At 45.3% G+C, this 19,256-nt stretch overlaps 1 protein-coding gene across 5 annotated transcripts in view; it reads left to right on the forward strand.

Moving 5' to 3' along the window:
* The window catches only part of IFT43 (intraflagellar transport 43), a 98,311-nt gene that overhangs the window by 56,257 nt on the left and 22,798 nt on the right, over positions 1-19,256 (forward strand). For 2 of the 5 annotated variants that reach the window (NR_045665.2, NM_001102564.3), the window contains exons 4-5: positions 16,623-16,655; positions 17,308-17,354. The exons of 2 other annotated variants lie outside the window; for them this stretch is intronic. Coding sequence is in view for 2 of the 3 variants with exons in the window: in NM_001102564.3 (NP_001096034.1) it covers positions 16,623-16,655; positions 17,308-17,354 (80 nt within the window). In the remaining variant the exon portion in view is untranslated. Of the gene's footprint in view, positions 1-16,622; positions 17,253-17,307; positions 17,355-19,256 lie in introns of those variants that run through there. One more of the 5 variants, NM_001255995.3, reaches the window with a different exon arrangement.

The raw sequence follows: 19,256 nt of genomic DNA on the forward strand, positions 1-19,256 counted from the left end.
ACAGATTCTGGCTTCCACGAAAGTGCTGCAGAACCCATTTGTGGAGAGCCCACGTGTCTTGTCCAGTCCTTGTGTTGTATGGACGAGGACACACACACACACACACACGTACACACATTATTTATTGTGACTTCTTTTGCTGGCCACTGTGCTAAACACAGTTATCTTTTTCCTCAAAACAACCCTATGAAGTAGGTGCTGTTATTATCCCTGCTTGCAGATGAGGAAACTGAAGAGTAAAAAAAAAAAAAAAAGTTAAGTAACTTGCTCAGAGTCATACAGCTAGTGAGTAGCCAGCCAGAATTTGGACCCACGTAAGTCTGATCCTAGGGATCATGGTCTTATTCTCAGTGCTTTGCTGCCTTCTGTTTTTATGCCCCTTGACACCTGATACAGCATCTTTGCCCGTGGTAGAACCTCAGCAGATATTCCCTGAGGGCTCTTTTGACAAGAAACCAACATGTTCAGCTTGTGAGAATAATAGCAAGGAGTGCATGCATGACCTAAGCCCTTCCTAGCATCCTTTGGCCTCGCTCTCTGCAGAGTTGTGCTCCAGCCAGCTGCCTGACCCACCAGAAGAAGGTGAGTGCAGAGGATGCAGCCTGTGCTTAGGGGTACTGGCCAAGGCCCTGCCAGCCCTGCCATTAAAAGGCTTAATTAGGCTAGTCATTAAGTTCAATTACGCATTGGAAATGATTGTCCCTTCTAACCCTGCAGTGCCCTCCAAGAACTGGATCCATTCCCAGGCAGCCCGCTCAGGAGCCAGGTTCTAGTTACAGGTGCACCTGTAAAACTGCTTCTGGTTTCGGGGCCTGTGATGCCATGGCAGACTAGGGCAGAGTAGCCCAGAGCGAGGCACTCCAAGTACATGTTAAATCGGGTTAGGTTTCTGCCTTTGAGGCCATTTCCTAAGTGCCACCTTCTCTTATTGGGCCACCTTTTCCCCAAGTGTCATTAGGAGTCAGGACATCTGCCTGTGCAGTGGGCACAGAGCAGAGCCCTGGGCTGGGATGAGAGGAAGAGAGGTGTAGTGTAGCAGCCCCATGCAGCCAGCTCAGTGCCCTTGGCCTCTGTCTCTTCAGCCTTACACACAAGGGGTCTCAAAGGCCCTCTCCAACTCCAAAAGGATGTGTGAACATCTGAAACATACTTTCTAGATGGCTTGCTTGAAACGAGTCCTTTTAGTTTCTGAGTTATTATATTACCTTGAAGCAAAACAGTTGACAAGCATTGAGGAAGGGCCGGGGCCAGGTGAGTAGAGGCATGAATGAACCACCACAGGGTTTAGGATGAGCACACCAGGCTTTGCAGAGGGGAGTAGAAGGGTAGGTGGGCAAGGTAGAGAAGAGCTCGTGTGCAGGGCCTGGAACTCCAGGCAGGCCCTCCTTTTTTAGGAAATAGGAGCCACTGCAGTGTTGACAGGTGCATGACTGGTGGTGCAAGGTATCACGATTTTTTTTTTTTTGAGACGGAGTCTCGCTCTGTCGCCCAGGCTGGAGTGCAGTGGTGCGATCTTGGCTCACTGCAGCCACTGCCTCCCGCACTTCTGAATGCCTTTTTGACATGGGACAACCTTGGGGTACTTGCAGATGTAAAAAGAAATCTGTTTCTCCCAATGTAGAGTCCTCTTGGCACAATGTGGAAACTGTTTTCTCCTACTATACCCTCAGTGCTCCACCTCTGACACCAGATGTATAGAAGTTTTTCTCCATACACTATAGCCAGTTCTGCAGTGGACACTAGCTGGCTGTTCTACAGTTTTACTCAATTCTGACGCTATCTGCCTGGAGTTAACATCAGATCTCACAGGTTCAGAGCTGAGTCCCACAAGACTGTCCCACATTTCCAGTGCCAGTTGCAAGCCCTGGGTTGTTTTACCTGTGCTTCTGAACCACTGGCTGTAAATCTAGTGTTCCTATGACCCCCTTTCCAGCTTGATTAATTTGCTAGAGTAGCTCACAACTCAGGGAAACAAACACTTTACTTACTATCACCAATTTATTACAAAGCATATGTTATTTCTCTTTTTTTTTTGGTTTTTTTTTTTTGAAACAGAGTCTTACTCAGTCGCCCAGGCTGGAATGCAGTGGTGCTATCTCGGCTCACTGTAACCTCCACCTTCCGCCCTATGTGCCTCAGCCTCTTGAGTAGCTGGGATTACAGGCATGTACCACCACGCCCAGCTAATTGTTGTATTTTTAATAAAGACCCAGTTTCACTATGTTGACCAGGCTGGTCTCGAACTCCTGGCCTCAAGTGATCCGCCTGCCTCAGCCTCCCAAAGTGTCGGGATTACAGGCGTGAGCCACCATGCCAGGCCACAAAGCATATTTTAAAGGATGCAAATGAAGAGCTATATAGGGCAAGGTTTGGAAGAGACCCAATTGTAGGAGCTTCTGTTCCCATGGAGTTGAAGTGTGCCACCCTCCCATCACCTGAATACATTCTTGCTCTCCAGCCCAGAAACTCTCAGAACCTAGTCGTTTTGGGTGTTTATGGAAGCATCATTATGTATGCACAATTGATTAAATCATTGGTCATTGGTGATCAGATCAACCTTCAGCCCATCTCCTCTCCTGAGGTCAGGGAGTAGGTTCCCCTGGTACCAGCCTCCATCCTGAGACCATCCAGGAGTCCCCCCATTCATCTATCTCCCATCAGTCATTCATTAGCATACAAAAAGACATAACACATTGGAGATTCCAAGGGTTTTAGGAGCTATGTGCCAGGAAACCAAATATTTACAGTTGGCCTTTAGAACTGAGAAAGTCCACTTATAGGAGGATTTTCTTCTGCCTCCACCACCCCTGAGACAGCAAGGCCAACCGCTCCTCTTCCTCCTCCTCCTGATCCATTTCCACTTAATGAGTAGTAAATACATTTTTCTTCTTTCTGCTTTTCCTCTAGCTTACTTTATTGTAATACAGTATATAGCACATATAACGTACAAAATATGTATTAATTGACTATGTTACTAGTGAGGTTTCCAGTCAACGGTAGGCTGTATGTGGTTAAGTTAAACTTCAACTGTATGGGGGGTCTGTGCCCCAACACCCACATTGTTCAAGGGTCATCTGTATTTAGATGAAGACTAAATATGTATTTCTTATTATAAATCACAATAACACACTCTTCTTAAGGGCTCACTCATCCTCCTTCTTTATAGCAAGAATTCTCTTTTCAGGCTAGACAAAGTTGTGGAGAGGGTCTGCTCATCTTTTTCCCCTGGGTTTGCCACCTTTTTCTCTAGCAGATACTGGCAATGTGTCTCATTCGCATCCTTAGAATTCTTCTCCTCCTGCATCCATTTCAAATCATTGCTTTCTCTTCTGAAACCATATATGAAGGTTAACTAATTATAATTATGTGAGGTTGCTTTTTCCATAGGATTTGTATTCCTTCCTGACTAGAATGAGTTCTCATTTGAGATGTGCTATAGTAATTGGAGTTAAAAATCTGCAGTCAACAGAAAATCCCATTAACAGAAGCTTAAACAGAAAGGAGTTTGTCTCACAAAAGGAGAGGTCCAGGGCTTAGCAGCCCGGGGCTGTAGGCACCCCCAGAGCCAGGAGGGATGGAGCTCTTTCCCTTTCTGCCCCACCATCCTTAGCGTGTGGGCCTTTGTCACCATGCTCGTGCCTCCTGGTTGTGGGATGGCTGCTATACTGCCAAGCCTCACCTCTGTTTTCCAGGCAGAAGAAAGAGTGATGTGAAAGTGACGGTGAAGGGCTCTTTCTTAGCAAGAATTTGTTTTTTGGAGGTGAGGGAGAAGAATGTGCTGCATCTTTCTCACGGGTCTACCCCTCAGCCCCAGAGAGGCTAGGAAACAGATTTTTAGTTGGGCTCATTGTCACCCCAAACAAAACTGGTATTTGAATCAAGATGGGAGAGACGACTTTGGGTGGATGCCAAGCTATTTTCTGTGGTCTGACCCTGTTGAGCTGAGTTTCAGAAGTCACTGGATGAGACTGCCCTACTATAAAGACCGTGTCATGTGATGTGGAGGGTTGGGTGTGTAGGTAGTGCAGAAACCATTTCACCTAATTCTAGAAGCTTCCCAGAGGTGGAGAATCCTTTAGAAAGATGTGAAAGCCAGAAAAAGTTGCTTTTTAGACAGGAATAAACAGAAGTGACTGAAATGAAGAAAGGGAACCAAGAGGCAGAAAAAGTAAAGCAGAAGATGGAAAAAAATGAGAGGGCTACCTGCTGAGAAATTGAGCGGTAAATTAATTGTGTTGTGGAAAGCAGTGGCCAGCTGGTGCGGAGGCTTTGTGAGCGGGATAAAATGTTTCTCATGTGGGGCTGGGGGTCTGTAGATGAGGTCAACAGGTCAGGTGGCGAGGGCAGGCTGCTGGACTTGCCAGTGAGGGTGGCCTGGATAGGTTCAGCAAGGGAGGCAGCAATATGTGCAAGCAGGGGAAGTGGTGGGTCCCCAGAAGCAAAAAGTATGTAGCCACTCCCCTGGGCACACCCAGCCAGCACCCATCTCAGGGTGGGGATCAGTTACAGGATTGAGGAGAAAGACGCCTCAAGCAAGGACAAGCAGCACAGGGAAGAGACTGGATGAGGACAACCATCACCACAATAATGATGGTGGTAGCAACAGCCACTGTTCACCGAGCACTTCCTGTGTGCCAAGTTCTATGCAAAATGCTTTGCCTGAATTAACTTACTTGATTCTTAGAACAACTTTATGAAGTAGAATTTGATATTATCACCAGCTTGGCAGAGTTTAAAGTGACTTGCCCAAGAGCATGCAGCTAATGAATGATGAAACTTTGTTCTGAAGCCAGAACCTATGAAACTTTGTTCTGAACCTGTAGCCAATTCCTGCTGCTATAACAAAGTACCACAGTCTGGGTAGTTTATAAATAATGGAAATGTATGTCTCACAGTTCTGGAGTCTGGGAAGTCTGAGATCAAGGCACTAGCAGATTCAGTGTCTGGTGAGGGCTACTTTATACTTCCAAGACACCTTGCTGCTATGGACTCACATGGCAGAAGGCAGAAGGGCAACAGGGACTAGCTACCCACCAGCCCTTCGATAAGGGACTAATCCCATCCCTGAGGGTGGAGTCCTCATGGCCTTGTCACCTCCTGAATACTGTTGCATTGGGGATTAAGTTTCAACATCAGTTTTGGAGGGGCCACATATATTCAAACCATAGCACCCTCTGAATCTGGAGCCCATACTCAGAACCACTGGCTTCAAGCTAGTTGTTTAAATTGGGGCCTGAGATTAGAGCTCAGCACGTATACCTTGGCTGGCCTGATTCTGAGTGATTGAGCCTGGGGTTCTTAGAGTCCTCTCTGATGTGGGGAATAGGAAGGTTGGTTTCTGAGTTCCCTCTGTTTGGAAGGTTTAGCAGGTCTATGTAGCTATCCTCTTTCCAACTGCTTGGAGAGAAAGGAAATAAAGAAGTCATATTAAGCAGGAAGAAAACAAATGGAAATGTTAAGAGCAGGTTAACTGTTTAGGAGAGGAGTATAAAGGGGGAAGTAACATTTCTGTGGAAAGTTGTAGCAGGTCTGACAACAGCTAAGAAAAAGAGAAACAGAACAAGGAGGAAAATGCCTTAAATTCTTAAGTAGGAAGAGAGTTTGGGTCAACTTTGTTTTGCCTAAAAGTAATTGAAAAAGGGAAGAGGCAGGACTGCCCGCCCGCCTGCCTGCCTGCCCGCCTGCCTTCCTCCCTCTGTTCCTTCCCTCCCTCCTTTTTTTTTTTTTTTGTCATTGCAGTTTCCAAACCTGCACACTACACTGTCTTGATTGAGATTTTTAGGGCTGGATAAACCAGTTGCAAGGAAGGGACTGCGTGGGGGTTGTCAGAATGGAGAGCAGTATTAATGGGGAACAGATGTGGGTGGGGGCCAGAATCAAGGGGAGGCAGGGTTGGTGATCATTCACAGAGCTGGGGAGAGACCTGAGGAGCTATGGAGTCTGGCCCCTTCCGTTTGGAGATGGAGAAAATGAGAACTAGGGAGGTTAAGTGACACTGAGTTATAGAATCTTAGAGTTAGAAAGGCCCTTAAATGTCACCTTGCCCCACTGCCCAAGGTCGTACAGCTAATTAGTATAATAGAATGTGCCTCTCGTTCTGCAGCCGTGCCCATTCTCAAACCTTGAGCGCTGCACGCATTTATCTCAAGTTCACAAAAAGGCCATGCACTATACTATTTGTGCAAGAGTGAGTCTGTTAGAATAAAATTGTCTTTACTGCTACCCTCTGGGACCCTCACAGAATTGAGATGTTGATCGTATGAAGCAATCTTATTGAACAAAAAAACTTCCAAGGAAAAAAGTTGTGTCCCCTGAGCCAGCCAGTCTCTGCTAAGGGGGACCTGCTGCTTTGCAGAGTGAGCAGCTGAAAGCCAGGAGGGAATGATTAGAGAGGCCAACCATTGGTTAAAATTCTCCGAACATAAATGATCTCCTTGTTCTCCCTTTGATGGATTCGGTCTCTCAAAAATAAAATGCATCTGTGAACATCACACCTACTTCTTTCCTTTTCTTTTGAGTCCTGTATGGAGAAGTACCCAACAGCAATTTTAATATAGATGAAACAGGTTGGGCACACATAGGTATAAATATGCATAGGAAATGGAGGCCCCTCACATCATCCGAGTTTTTTCTGGTCTAGTGGGTCGGTCAGTGATTTTACCTTTTGACCCATGCTGCCCCCACCAGAGCTGAATACTGATGGCTACACCAGTTTCTCCAGGTTTCACAGCACCCATTGTAAAAGAGCCCACGTGTTGAAGTGGCAGGGTGCCCTTGGTTCTTATTTACCAGGGATTCACCAGGGTGGGCCCTGAGCCTCCCAGGAGGCTGCCACACATGGTCCTGTGCTCCCCCAGTGGCTCGCATGCCAGCAACCAGAACTGAGGCACCTTCTCTTCATGTACCTCATGACTTGGGTGAGTCTCAGTGTATTTATGGGGTTTCGGGGAAATCACAGAATGTAAAAGAACAGAAGCAGAGAAGATGGTGGGTTAGTTACTAGAAGGAAATCTTTACAGGTTTCCCCATTATAGAGCAGAAACTTCTGTACAGGAAAAGTAAAAGACCCACTCCAGCAATTAAACATGAATTGAAATAAAGGTTTCCAGAAGCACTGAGAAGTTTGTCCCTTGACTTGTGGCACATGGTTTCTACTAGTCTCAGTCACCACATCCAGTCTCGTTTATCTCCATCTTCCATCCTTGTAGCTCGATTTTCCCAAGATTCGTGTCTAGTCCCAAAGTTATTCTTTTCCACTAGCTTTCACATCCTCTGATCATGCCAATGGAAAAGTCTCCATTTACAGCCAGTGTTTCTTTAACACTTCTCTAACCCTACTAATCTCCCCTTTTAATACAAAATAGGCCGTACGCTCTTGGATTTTTGACAAACAGCAATGTCTAGCTAATAAAGTTTGTAGTTTTTAAAAAGCTGTGTGTTTTTTTTTTTTTTACAATTATTTCCCTATGGCTGGTGATGATAGCTTTCCATGAAGATGTAGAGTTTTCTTTTAAAAAAAATGTATTAAAACCAAGGAATCAATTTAAAGAAAATGCTAAGTGGTTGCAGAAAGTACATAGCTATAGCAAAATTGGTGAAGGTGGCACTTGGAAATGGCAGACATTTGGGGAACACTCATACAGCGGTTCTTCTTAGCTGCTTCTCCCCACCCCCAACCCCCTTCTTTCTCCCAGTGGGAAGAATAAGAACTTCCATTTAACTGCTCTGTGCTGCTTTTGTACTGCAGGATACAAGGTAAGTTGCAAAATATTAGATCATTGAGGTCTCTATATGTGGGCATAAGTAACTTGAAGGGGGAAAGCAAAGAACCCATGGTTAATTTCAAGCCCCCAAATCCCTCCTGATCCCTGATCAATGTCAGTGTATGTATTTATAGAGTTGACACCAGTAATACCAACTTATTTGGTCTTATTGCTTACCCACTCAGCCCTGACGCCATTCTCATCTCCAGCCACCACCTTTTCCTTATTTCAGCCACACCATGTCCCCTTCTGTTTTCCGAACACCTCAGCCCCTGCATGCCTCTGACCTCTGTTCGAGTGGTTTCCCTCCTGCAGCTTTTCTGCCCATTGCAAGCCTCCTCATCTCTCCATTGGCAAGGCTTCCATGAAGCCTCCCCAGATCCCCAGCTAGAATGGCTGGTTCCCTCTTTAGTGCTCCTGTGACAGTTTGCTTACACCTTCCTCACTTGTCCTGTCAAATCTGGGGCTCAGTAGAATGAGGGATTGTGAACCTCAGTTTCCAGGTCCAGCACTGCGTCCACTGGCTTTGGAGCCTTCATTAGATCTCTTTGAGGACTCCTGGTCTCCACTTCTTCATCTAGCAGCTGACAGTTTGGATGTGGTGGGAGTATTTGGATGTGGTGGGAGGGTTTGGATGTGGTGGGAGTGTTTGGATGTGGTGGGAGTGTTTGGATGTGGTGGGAGTCTTTTGTTTGTTTTCTTGGGTTTTGTTTGTTTGTTTTTGAGATGAGGTCTCGCTGTGTTGCTTAGGCTGGTCTTAAACTCGTGGGCTGAAGTGATTCTCCCACCTTAGTCTCTTGAGTATCTGGGATTACAGGTGCACACCGCTGTACCCATCTGGTGGTGAGAGTCTTTTTGGCCTTACAGTATGTAAGTTTATGGAGGTGTTAGTGTTATTTCTGTAATGTTCTTTTCTCCTACCAGATTGTAAAATCTTGAGCAAAAGATCCCCAATTCCCAACACCTCTCACTCCTGCCTAGTAGATGATTAGTGATCCAGTAATGGTTTCCTGAATAAAAAAATGTTCATTTGAGAGGGCTAAAACCTCTAGAGTTCTAAACTCTGCTGCCTTTTCTTGATAGCAGGCATATTACATTTTATATGTTCCCATAACTGTAGCTACTCAAAGCGTTTCTGTGTATTTCAACCTTTTTTCACACATTTAGTTTGAAGCAAAACAAAGCTGTCATTTTTAATGTGAGCAGCAGGGGGCAACATTCTCCCAGGAATTGCCTTGTGATTCACTAGGCCTTGGCAGTGTAAAGAGAGGACATGGGCATGAGTTTTTTATCAGTCTACCAGACATCTTACTGATGAACTGTGCTGGCAGGAGCTAAATATGATCTAGCGTGACCTAAAACCCCAGAGTGCCAAAATTTGGGTGTTAGGGAATACCTGCCTGTTTTAAAAGAAGGAAGAAAATATGGTACCTAGCGGCATATACTAGATGCTAAACACATGAGTGGCAAGAACTAGGAACTGAGGGGAAAGAGGGTGGTGACTGCAGCTTTCAGGGGAGATTTAAATGAGGAGAAATCTGTTGGACAAGGAAAACTTCAGTTCATGAGAAATATCTAGCTTTTAATGAGTATTGCAGGTGTGGGGGCAGCTTAGAGCAGAGGGACCCCAATTATCCAGTGTACCGCCTGGGATTGAATGAGCAGTGTGGCCAAGATGACAATGGCAGATTTCTCCTTTCCTCACATTTGGGTTTTCACTGCAAAGGCTCATTTGGCGCTTCACACATTTATAAAGTAGAGCCTTGGTTCTGGATTTGCTGGTGGCATTAGATGATCCGGGAATATTGCCTTCTCTCTCTCATGCCTTGGTAAAATTTACCTCAATGAGGTTTGGAGGCAACTGTGAGATTTTTCTTGGACATTTAAAAATTATGAGGGTAGAAAACCTTGCAAGAAAATGGCATTTTGATTTTTTTTCCTCCAGAGGAAGAAATTTTTACTTGACATTTTAAAAATGTAAAGTAGCTTTGGCATCAACGTAGTTGGTATCTCTTTCCTGCTCTTCCCCTGGCCAGTTTTTCTTCATGCCTTTGGCCCCTGGCTGCAGTTTTGTCTCTTTTGTAATGGGAATCATGCAGGTGCCTTCCTATGGCTTTGGCGTTTCTTTCACCTGCAACAAGTTATAGTCAGAACCATTCATCCAAACCCTTCACATTCCTCCCCAGGTCGGAGTGATCCCTGAGGGATGGACTCGCATAGGGCCTTCCACGGGCACAGGCAAGGCTCCAGGTGCTTGGCACTTTCGTCTATTTTAAGCCTGTTCTGCCTTGCAGCAGGGAGGTGGGTCTAGGGTCCAGTATGTGCTGTGGATATTAAGAGACTTCAAGGACGCTTCCCCCCATTTATCTCGGTTATGTCCCCTGCTAAAATAGGTTAACGGTGTCTAATTAACCACTGAACATTGTCATGCTGCATAAAGATAGCATCCTGGCTGTTCTCTGAGCCGTGGTACTTTATCTCCATTTAGATCTCTGCAGTATTCCATTAAACTCGAGAGAAACATTTTAACTGAGGTGATGTCTACATTAGGGCTGCCTTTTACCCTTCAGCACATAACCCATGTAGCAGCAGTTAAGGCCTCTTCTGTCTGGTGAAGGGAATCCAGGTTGTTTTGCGGCCTCTTCCCCAGAAGTTCATGGGGTCCCTGCAGTTGGGGGTCATAACTACCTGCTAGTCCCACTCGATCATGATGGCCAGATCAGGCCCCCTGATGCAGCAGGGAGGAGACAGACCCTGCAGGCAGGAATAAAACTATGAGGATCCAAGATTCTGCCATGGTCCCATGTGGCTGAAGTCACAGATGTGCCACTGGGATCCAGCTTGTGCTCAGCTGCCCAAATCACACCGTCAAATGTCAGTGTGGGCTCCAAATGCCAAAGAAAGGGATTACATTTGAGCAAAAGAATTTCAAAAAGGGAGGAATATGGAGAGAAAGGTGACTTAGCTAGATGGGTCTCTTTTTTGCCATGATGCACACTGTTGCGTTGTAAATAAAACATATAATAAATCACAGAACAATTAAGCCAACATTAACTACCAGATCATCAGGACTGACAAAGCTACAGCCCTACTATAAGTTGAAAAGTTGTCCCCGTCCTGAAAATATTAGTTGGATTTGAAGCAGAGGAGCATTTCCCATGCTGTTGAAATGCCCGCATGTCTCCATGGTGTAAGGGTTGGGAACTGAGCTTTGGAGTCAGACACCCTGCTTGCATTCTGGCCCTACCACTTTCTAGGTAGGTAACCTTAGGCAGGTTACTTACCTCTCTTGAGCTCCTCCTCTGTGAAACAAAGAGAATAAAATAAGGTACTATAATACTGAAATAAGATAATGTATACTGTATAGGACATATGTGATTATATAATTGTATAATAGTATTATAAATACTATAATGACAGTGGCTGGTGCCTAACAAACTCAGTAAATGTTGACTGTTGTCATCAGTCGTCATCCTTCTTAGGGCAGGTTTGTGGGGGAAGGGACAGCACAAAGGAAGGGTGGGCTGAGACCTGGGACTGGGCTTTCTTTCCCCTGAGAGTTGAGAGTGGGTGCGCTGAGCCAGGCAGGAGAGGCTAAGCGTAGGTCAGAGAGAAGCTGGGATGAAGACCAGGACGGGACTGGGTGAGTGTGGAGCTGAGGTACTGGGCTTTAAATGCAAGTCACGACAGCAAGACAACCGCCTTCACCTTCACATCGTCTACCTGAGAAGCCAAGCTTCTGAGTCCTTGGCAGCTTCGTGGCTGAGCATTGTAGGCAATTTGGAAAGGGCCATCAGCCCGCCGTGATGTGGGGAGGGGAAGCCAGTCTTTGCTCCCTCACCCTGCTCCACGAGGCGGAGGTGAGAGAGAACGTTTACTGTCACTGTCCCAGGTTAAAACTTCATTCTGCAAAATGGCCAAAGCAATCAGTGAGTGATGGAGTAGCTCTTAAAAAGAAACCTGGCATTTAATTAACTTTTCAAAGTGCTGATTCAGCAACCTCTGTGTTTTACATTTTGAATATTGAACGAGCATCTCTAATCGGATCTGGATTGCTCTGGGCCTGGTGTGGTGGAGAACACCTGCTTAGTTTTCATGAACACCACGTACTTGGGCGTGAATTTCAGGATCACTCAGGAACAGAGACTTCACCTAGTGGACCATTCAGGCCCCTTGCTATTTCTTCCTCCTCTCATCCTTTAGGTCAAGTCCATGTTCATTAATGCTTCCGTTAGAAGAAAGTCGGCAACTCAGGAGGAGAAGGCAAATAAGTTTCAGTTTTGCTGCTTAGCAACTGGAGTATTCAGCTGAATGTCTCAAGGCTTAGGGCAGGGAGTCTTGTCTACGTGACTAGGTCCCATTTCTGGAAGTTACTACCTCAGGGAGATTAGGAGTAAGCCCAGCCCATGTACATTGAAAAAGCTTCCGGGAATGAGTCTGGTGCACCACTGTTGAAGAATGACTAATTTAAAAGATTCTCTCCAGCTTCCAATTTGCTGTCTATACCATATCGTGCCTTCCATAAGGAGAGGAAGTCAAGAAGGGACCGTCTACACAGTAAATCCAAGCAGATGTCTGGGTGCCTTAGGGATATTAGATAATCAACTGGTATCTTCCTTTGAAAAGGCTTGAGGCAAAGTGTTTGGAATCTAGGGTGAAAGTTGGGAGACATGGATTCTAGTTTCAGCCTCATCACTAACTAGCTCTGTGATTTGGGTGAAGCCCACAGCTGCAGTGCCCAGCGTCCCTCTCTGTGTATAAAATTGTGCTGCTGAAACCTGCTTTTCCTCTTCTCCAGAACTCAGCCGAGGTAGTGTTTGTAGATGTGAATATCTTTGAAGAGTATTGAAAAGTGCTCTGTGTGAGGTGATCTCGCTGGAATTATGATTTGCCAGGTTCCCCAAACTTCTAATAGCCACTTTTGGGGAAAAAGGCACAGGGGCCCTGAGTACAGAAATAAACCGGCAGCCCAAGGCTATACTGATCTCAGCTCTGCAGACAGCCTGTCAGAGGGCTGGGCCCAGGTCACACAAGCCTCATCGACAGCCTCAGTTTCCTCAGAAGTTGGGAATGAAGTGTCTCTGAAGAGGTGCTCCAGGACCCATAATTCTTTACCTCAACCTCTGTCCTCACACAGTCTGGGAGGCAGAACTTCCATATCAGATTCTTCTCTAATTCCCTACCCTGTGGACTGTGGTAGACTACTGTGTTTTAGGTTCTTGTTTGTTTGCTTGCTTGTTTGTTTTTAACCTGTCACCAGTAGTTTAAAAATACAGTCAGGGCTGAGCACAGTGGCCCATGCCTGAATCCCAGTGCTTTGGGAGGCAAAAGCAGGAGAATTGCTTGAGGTCAGGAGTTTAAGAACAGCCTGGACAATACAGTGAGACCCTGTTTCTACGAAAAATAGAAAAAAATTAGCCAGGCACGGTGGCACGCACTTGTAGTCCCAGCTACTCAGGAGGCTGAGGTGGGAGGATAACATGAACTCAGGAGTTTGAGGCTGCAGTGAACCATGATCTCAACACTGCACTCCACTCTGGGCCACAGAGTGAGACCCTGTCTCTAAAAAAAAAAAAAGTAAATTAATAAAAAATAAAAATATACTTCATGACTGGGTATGTGTATATATAAAACAGGAAACAAAACATTTACATAATACCTATTCTTACTATTTTCAGCACATGGTGTTTTCTGTGCTATTAAAAAAGAAAGATGAAAGAAAAATTTTAAAAGGAAAGGAAAGCTGGTGGTGCGCCACTAAATTGGTTTCATGGCTCACTCGTGGGTCATGACCTGAAGTTTAAAAAACATCGTGCTAGATTCTGTGTCTTTTGCTGGGCTCCTTGTCACTGCACTAGCCTGAGGTGCCTTTGAGGACCAGGCAGATAAAGTAAATCTGTGAAATGGGGTTTTATTTCAGAATGGTACCTTCAATCATATTCTTGAGATACATACACAAATTATTTGCATGTTCGCATTTCTATAAAGAAATATACTCTGCCAGTTTTCCTAAAACACGCTCCCCACTTTGTCTTTTTGCCTCCTCATATTTGATAGCTGCAAGACATACTTTGCCAGCCTCCTCACTCCTATTGGAAAACCAGCAGTGCAGATCATGTAATTCAGGACTAGTTCTGGACCCCCAGTGTTTGGGAGCAATGCGGGGTCGGGGGAGCTCAGGTTCATCCACTGCACGTCCAGTATTGCCAGGCTAAAAAGTTAAACTAAAAAGTTAAGAGTCCAGAAATTTGGATTTTTATACAAAATCTCCCCATTTTGGCAATGAATTTACATTAAAACAGAACAAAACAAAAAATAGACAGCAGTATGGTTTAGACCAAACTCATCTGCAGGCTAGGTAAGGCTGGGAAGTGGCCAGTGTTCGGTCTGTGACCCAGATCAGAGGCAGGGCGCACCATCCCACTCAGTGCGCTCCCAGAACCCGTTATTTCTGGCAGAGAGAGAGAATGAGAGAGAACACGCCACCTGAGGGCATCCCTGCTGCCCGTCCTTGAGGACTCCATTTGATCTTTCTTCCTTCCTCTGTTGGGAGAAAAGGGAGAGGGGAGAGTCCTTGGGCTCCCCCTAGAGTGAGAGAGCAGGATGTGGGCTCAGCAGCAATTAAGCTGAATATTAAACTCATCCCCCTTTTGGATATTGAGTGGATAAATGGCAATTAATCAGCCTCCCCCGAAAGATTAGCATTATCATTATTGTTTCCTTCAGACAGAATCGCCACTGGTTTTGCCACCGCACATTGTGTAGGGAAGGAACGATTCGGTCATAACTCCTGAGGGTAATTGGAGACAAATATGTCTCTTATGTACACAACGAAGGCGCCAGCCTTCCTTCCTAGCCTCTTTAATCCCGGGATTCTTCTTTTATCCCTGTTTTCATCCAAGCACATCTACCCTTGGTGACATTAGCTGTGTCATTCGGACAATGGGGGTATAGAGTTTAACTTCATGAGGACAATTAGAGGCATTGGTCCTTGGGGACGGCGTGAACTGGGAAGACAGCTTCTGTCCTCCCACACAGACAGAAGGTGGCTTTGATGGCTACTGGGTGCTCTTCCTTTAGGATTCCGTTTACTTAGAATAGGCATTGGAAGCCTATAGCATCCAGCAACACCAGGCTGGGGATGCCCTGGGCACCCTGCAGTGGTTTCTCTTTGGTGCCTCCCACTACCCATTCTGTCTCCTTCTGCCCTCATAACCTTCATTGCTGAGTCTCCTTTATCTCTCTTTAAGGGTCAGAAACTGCAGCCTGGGAGATTCCCTTAGAGTTGTTACACCCTGTTCTTCCAGCTTGACCTACCCATTCTCCCACCTCACTTCAGCCGTCATTCTTCCTTTTTAAAAATGGTACAGTTGATAGAGTCTAAATTCCATGGAAAGCAGTCTATTTAAACTTTGACTTACTTTTTAAAATCATTTTAATTATTTTATTTTATATTATTATTTTTTTTGAGACGGAGTCTCACTCTGTTGCTAGGCTGGAGTGAAATGGCGTGATCTTGGCTCACCGCAACCTCCACCTTCCGTGTTCAAGCGATTCTCCTGTCTCAGCCTCTGAGTAGCTGGGATTACAGGTGCCCACCACCATACCTGGCTAATTTTTGTATGTTTAGTAGAGATGGGGTTTCACCATGTTGGACGGGCTGGTCTCAAACTCCTGACCTCAAATGATCCACCTGCCTTGGCCTCCCAAAGTATTAGAATTACAGGCGTGAGCCACTGTGCCTGGCTGAAATTTTTATTTTTTAATTGACAAAAAAAAAAAAAATGAATGTAGAATTCTACTTTTGGCAGGGGGAGTTATTTGCGTTTTGCAAGAATTGCTGGTTGGCTCCTCGAAACCAATTCTTACTGGCAAGGCTGGTGGCCTACCCTGTCAAGGTCTACATCCTGCCTCCAGGCCATTTGCCGCCCTTTGCCCCCATCCTTTGCTCTTGCTCATCATGGTGCTAGATTTCTGACTTCAAATAACTCATTTAAAACAAACAAACAAAAAACCCTATGATGACAGAATAGTGGAAGTTTTCAGACATACAAAAATGTAATCTCCATGTACCCAATATTCAACTTTAATAATCATCAACATTTCGCCAGTCTTATTAGAAAACTTCACATCAGTGTTTCTCAGAGTGTGAGTAGTGACCCACTTAGATTAGAATTTAAAAATGCATATTCCTGGGCTGCCCCCACCCACCCAGACCAGCTGATTCAGAAATCTCCCTGCCAGGCCCACCAATCTGTGTATCTAACAGGCCCCGCGGATGGTTCTTATGCACCCTGACGTGTGAGAACCACTACCATAGATACGCGTGTATCAGCCAGGCCCTGTCACTCCTCACCCACCATCACTCAGAAGGTCCTCTCGTCCTTCGTGTGAAGGGCACAGAAAAGCAGTTCCAAAGTCTGAAGCCTGAACTGCGAGGCGAGGACATCCCTTTTTGCTCGTTGCAAGTCGCAAGTGCTGACAGCTAACAACACCAAATAAGACCCAGGGTCTCAGTCCTAAGAAAGCACTCTATAAATCAGTCAGTTAATTGCTGAAAGAAAAGAGGGCACTGAATCATCTGTATCTATTTGAATTTTAAGCCACTCGCTCAACCTGCACTTACACTCTCAACAATCCAATTTGGAGTGAGGCTGACATAAAGCTGTAAGAAGGCACTACAGCATCTTCAGTTCTCTCATGCTGGTTGTGGGGCTTGTCTCTAAAGAGGACTGCAGACAAATAAAGCACTTGAGATATACTAATTTGCCTCCACTTTTGAAACCTTCCTCAAGATACTACCTGGTGCATGAGACTAGTGGGCTCTCAAAAACCTTGTCTTTTCTTTTTTTTTTTCAGGTTTAGGAGGAAGGCTTCTGAAGAAATAGAAGAGTACGTTTCCAGTATTCTTATTCTTATGGTATCCTATGTTGATCTTGGTCAACAGTGCAGTCTTGGTGGTCATGATCTGTTCCACCTATGTTGAACACTGTGTTAGAAGTCTGGGGCTAGAATTATTGATGCCTGCTGAATCCAAGGTTTGGTTAATCCCGCTTCCTCAACTGAAGGTCTGGACCCTGGCATTGATGCCCATGTCCTATCTCCCACTGTGTGGTTTTAGAATTATATGTCCAGGTATCAGGGTACTGGCCCATGCCTTCTGCATTATTGATATAGATGGGCAGAAGCAATACCAGCTTCTAAGCCTTGCCTTCTCATAAGACTTATATCAGAAAAGAAAGAAGTTTTCTAGATAAAGGTGCTGTGAAGGTAGGGCCACCCAGTTTCCTACTCCCAGGGGCGGAAGCTGCATTCATGTCATAGCCTCTGTGATGCTGTCCTCTGGAATAGTGCATCGCACAGCCTGTGCAACCACACACGGCACACCCAGTGGCCTAATTAGGTTTGACTAAGTTGACAGAGAAAAACAGGTTCAGGGACATTTTCATCTAGGAGAAAGAATGGATACAATAAACATTTGGGATGTTCCTTTCCGTGTTTGAAACTCATTTTTTGCTGTCCTTTTCTTCTTTTTTGGGGGCAGTTTCCGCCTCAGACCACAGAGCCTGAATGGATCAGATTATGGAGGAGGTAAGAGGCCCTTGGAGGAAGTCAAAAGGTCTTCTAGAGAGGCCCCAGAACATTTCCTGGGCTACAGCTAAGGCACTGTTGGCTGCAGCATCACTGAAGACATTTGCAGTGGTCTTCTGACGCATGCTGATGCACATCTTCATGCCTTGCTGAATGCTGCCACCTCTACCTGGAGTATCTCTCCCTTCTTTATCTGATAACCCTGCTTATCCTTCAAAAGGTCAGCCAAAGCATCACTTCCCCTGAAACATCTTCCCTTCCCATCCCACTCCCTCTCTCACTGGATGTTCTTTCTCCATGCTCCTCTAACCTCCTTGGCAAACCAACATTGTAATAACATGGCCAATATTTACTAGGTGTTGACTATATCCCAAGCACTGTCCTTCCAGTTTACACATGTTAAAGCATTTTCTCTCACCACAACCCCGTAGTACTACTATTATCCCCATTTTACAGTTGTGGAAACGAAGGCATGGAGAGGTTAAGTAAGTTGCCCAAGGTCACACAGTTGCTAAGTGAGTAGAGCCAGGATTTGAGTACAGTTAGGATGTACTGTGCTTTAACTCTTTGTTGGCTTGATTGTTTTCCCACCAGACCTCTAAGCTTCTTGATGGCAGACAACACATGTTCTTTATCTTTGCATCTCCAGTGTGTGACGCATAGTAGTTAGTTAATGGCTAGCTATATAAACGCAGGGAAAACAGTACTAACAAGGCAAGTAGCTGTGGCACAGTGGAAGCCTATGTTCAAATATCAGGAGAAAAGATGAAGTTTGTGTGTGTCTCTAAAATGAAGCCTTCTAGGGAGGAGATTACGTAGGGGATCCAAATTATTATTGTTATTATTATTATTATTATTTTTTGAGGCAGAGTCTCGCTGTGTCACCCAGACTGGAGTGCAGTGGTGCAATCTTGGCTCACTGAAACCTCTGCCTCCCAGGTTCAAGTGATTCTCCTGCCTCAGCCTCCCGAGTAGCTGGGGTTGCAGGTGCATGCCACCACACCCAGCTAATTTTTTGTATTTTTAGTAGAGATGGGGTTTCACCATGTTGGCCAGGCTGGTCTCTAACACCTGACCTCAAGTGATCCTCCCACCTTGGCTTCCCAAAGTGCTGAGATTACAGCCGTGAGCCACCGCGCCCGGCCCCAAATTGTCAAAGCCTTTTTTTTTTAGACACACTTATTTATAATTTTCACACTCCTTGTTTGTTTGTGTAGATCCTAGTTTCTATCTGGCATCAGTTTCCTTCAGCCTGAAAAACTTTATCATTATTTTGTAGAACAGGTTGTCTGGCAAGAAATTCTGTCTGCTTTATTTGTCTGAAAATGTCATCTTCAACTTTTTACCAGACACAGAATTCTAGGCTGACAATTTTTTTCTTTTAGCATTTTAAATAGTTATTTTATTGTCTTTGGCCTTCTTTCTTTCTTCCCTCCCTTCCTCCCTCCCTCCCTTTCTTCCTTCCTTCCTTCCTTCCTTCCTTCCTTCTTTTCTTTCCTTTTCCTGCTCTCCCCTCCCCTCTCTTTTCTTTTCTTTCTTTTTTTTGAGACAGGGTCTCACTCCATCGTCCAGGCTGGAGTGCAGTGCCATGATCTTGGGCCCACTGCAACCTCCACCTCCTGGGTTTAAGTAATTCTCCTGCCTCAGCCTCCTGACTAGCTGGGACTACAGTCACATGCCACCACACCTGGCTAATTTGTGTATTTTTAGTAGAGACAGAGTTTTACCATGTTGGCCAGTTTGGTCTCAAACTCCTGACCTCAAGTGATCCACCCGCTGTAATAGGTGTGAGCCACCTCGCCTGGCCTACATTGTTTCTGATGAGAAGACGATCATTATTCTTATCTTTGTTCCCCTGTATGTAATGTATCTTTCCCCCTATCTGCTTTTAAGATTTCTTCT

The sequence above is a fragment of the Homo sapiens genome, chromosome 14 (assembly GCF_000001405.40).
Source record: "Homo sapiens chromosome 14, GRCh38.p14 Primary Assembly".
NCBI lineage: Eukaryota > Metazoa > Chordata > Mammalia > Primates > Hominidae > Homo > Homo sapiens.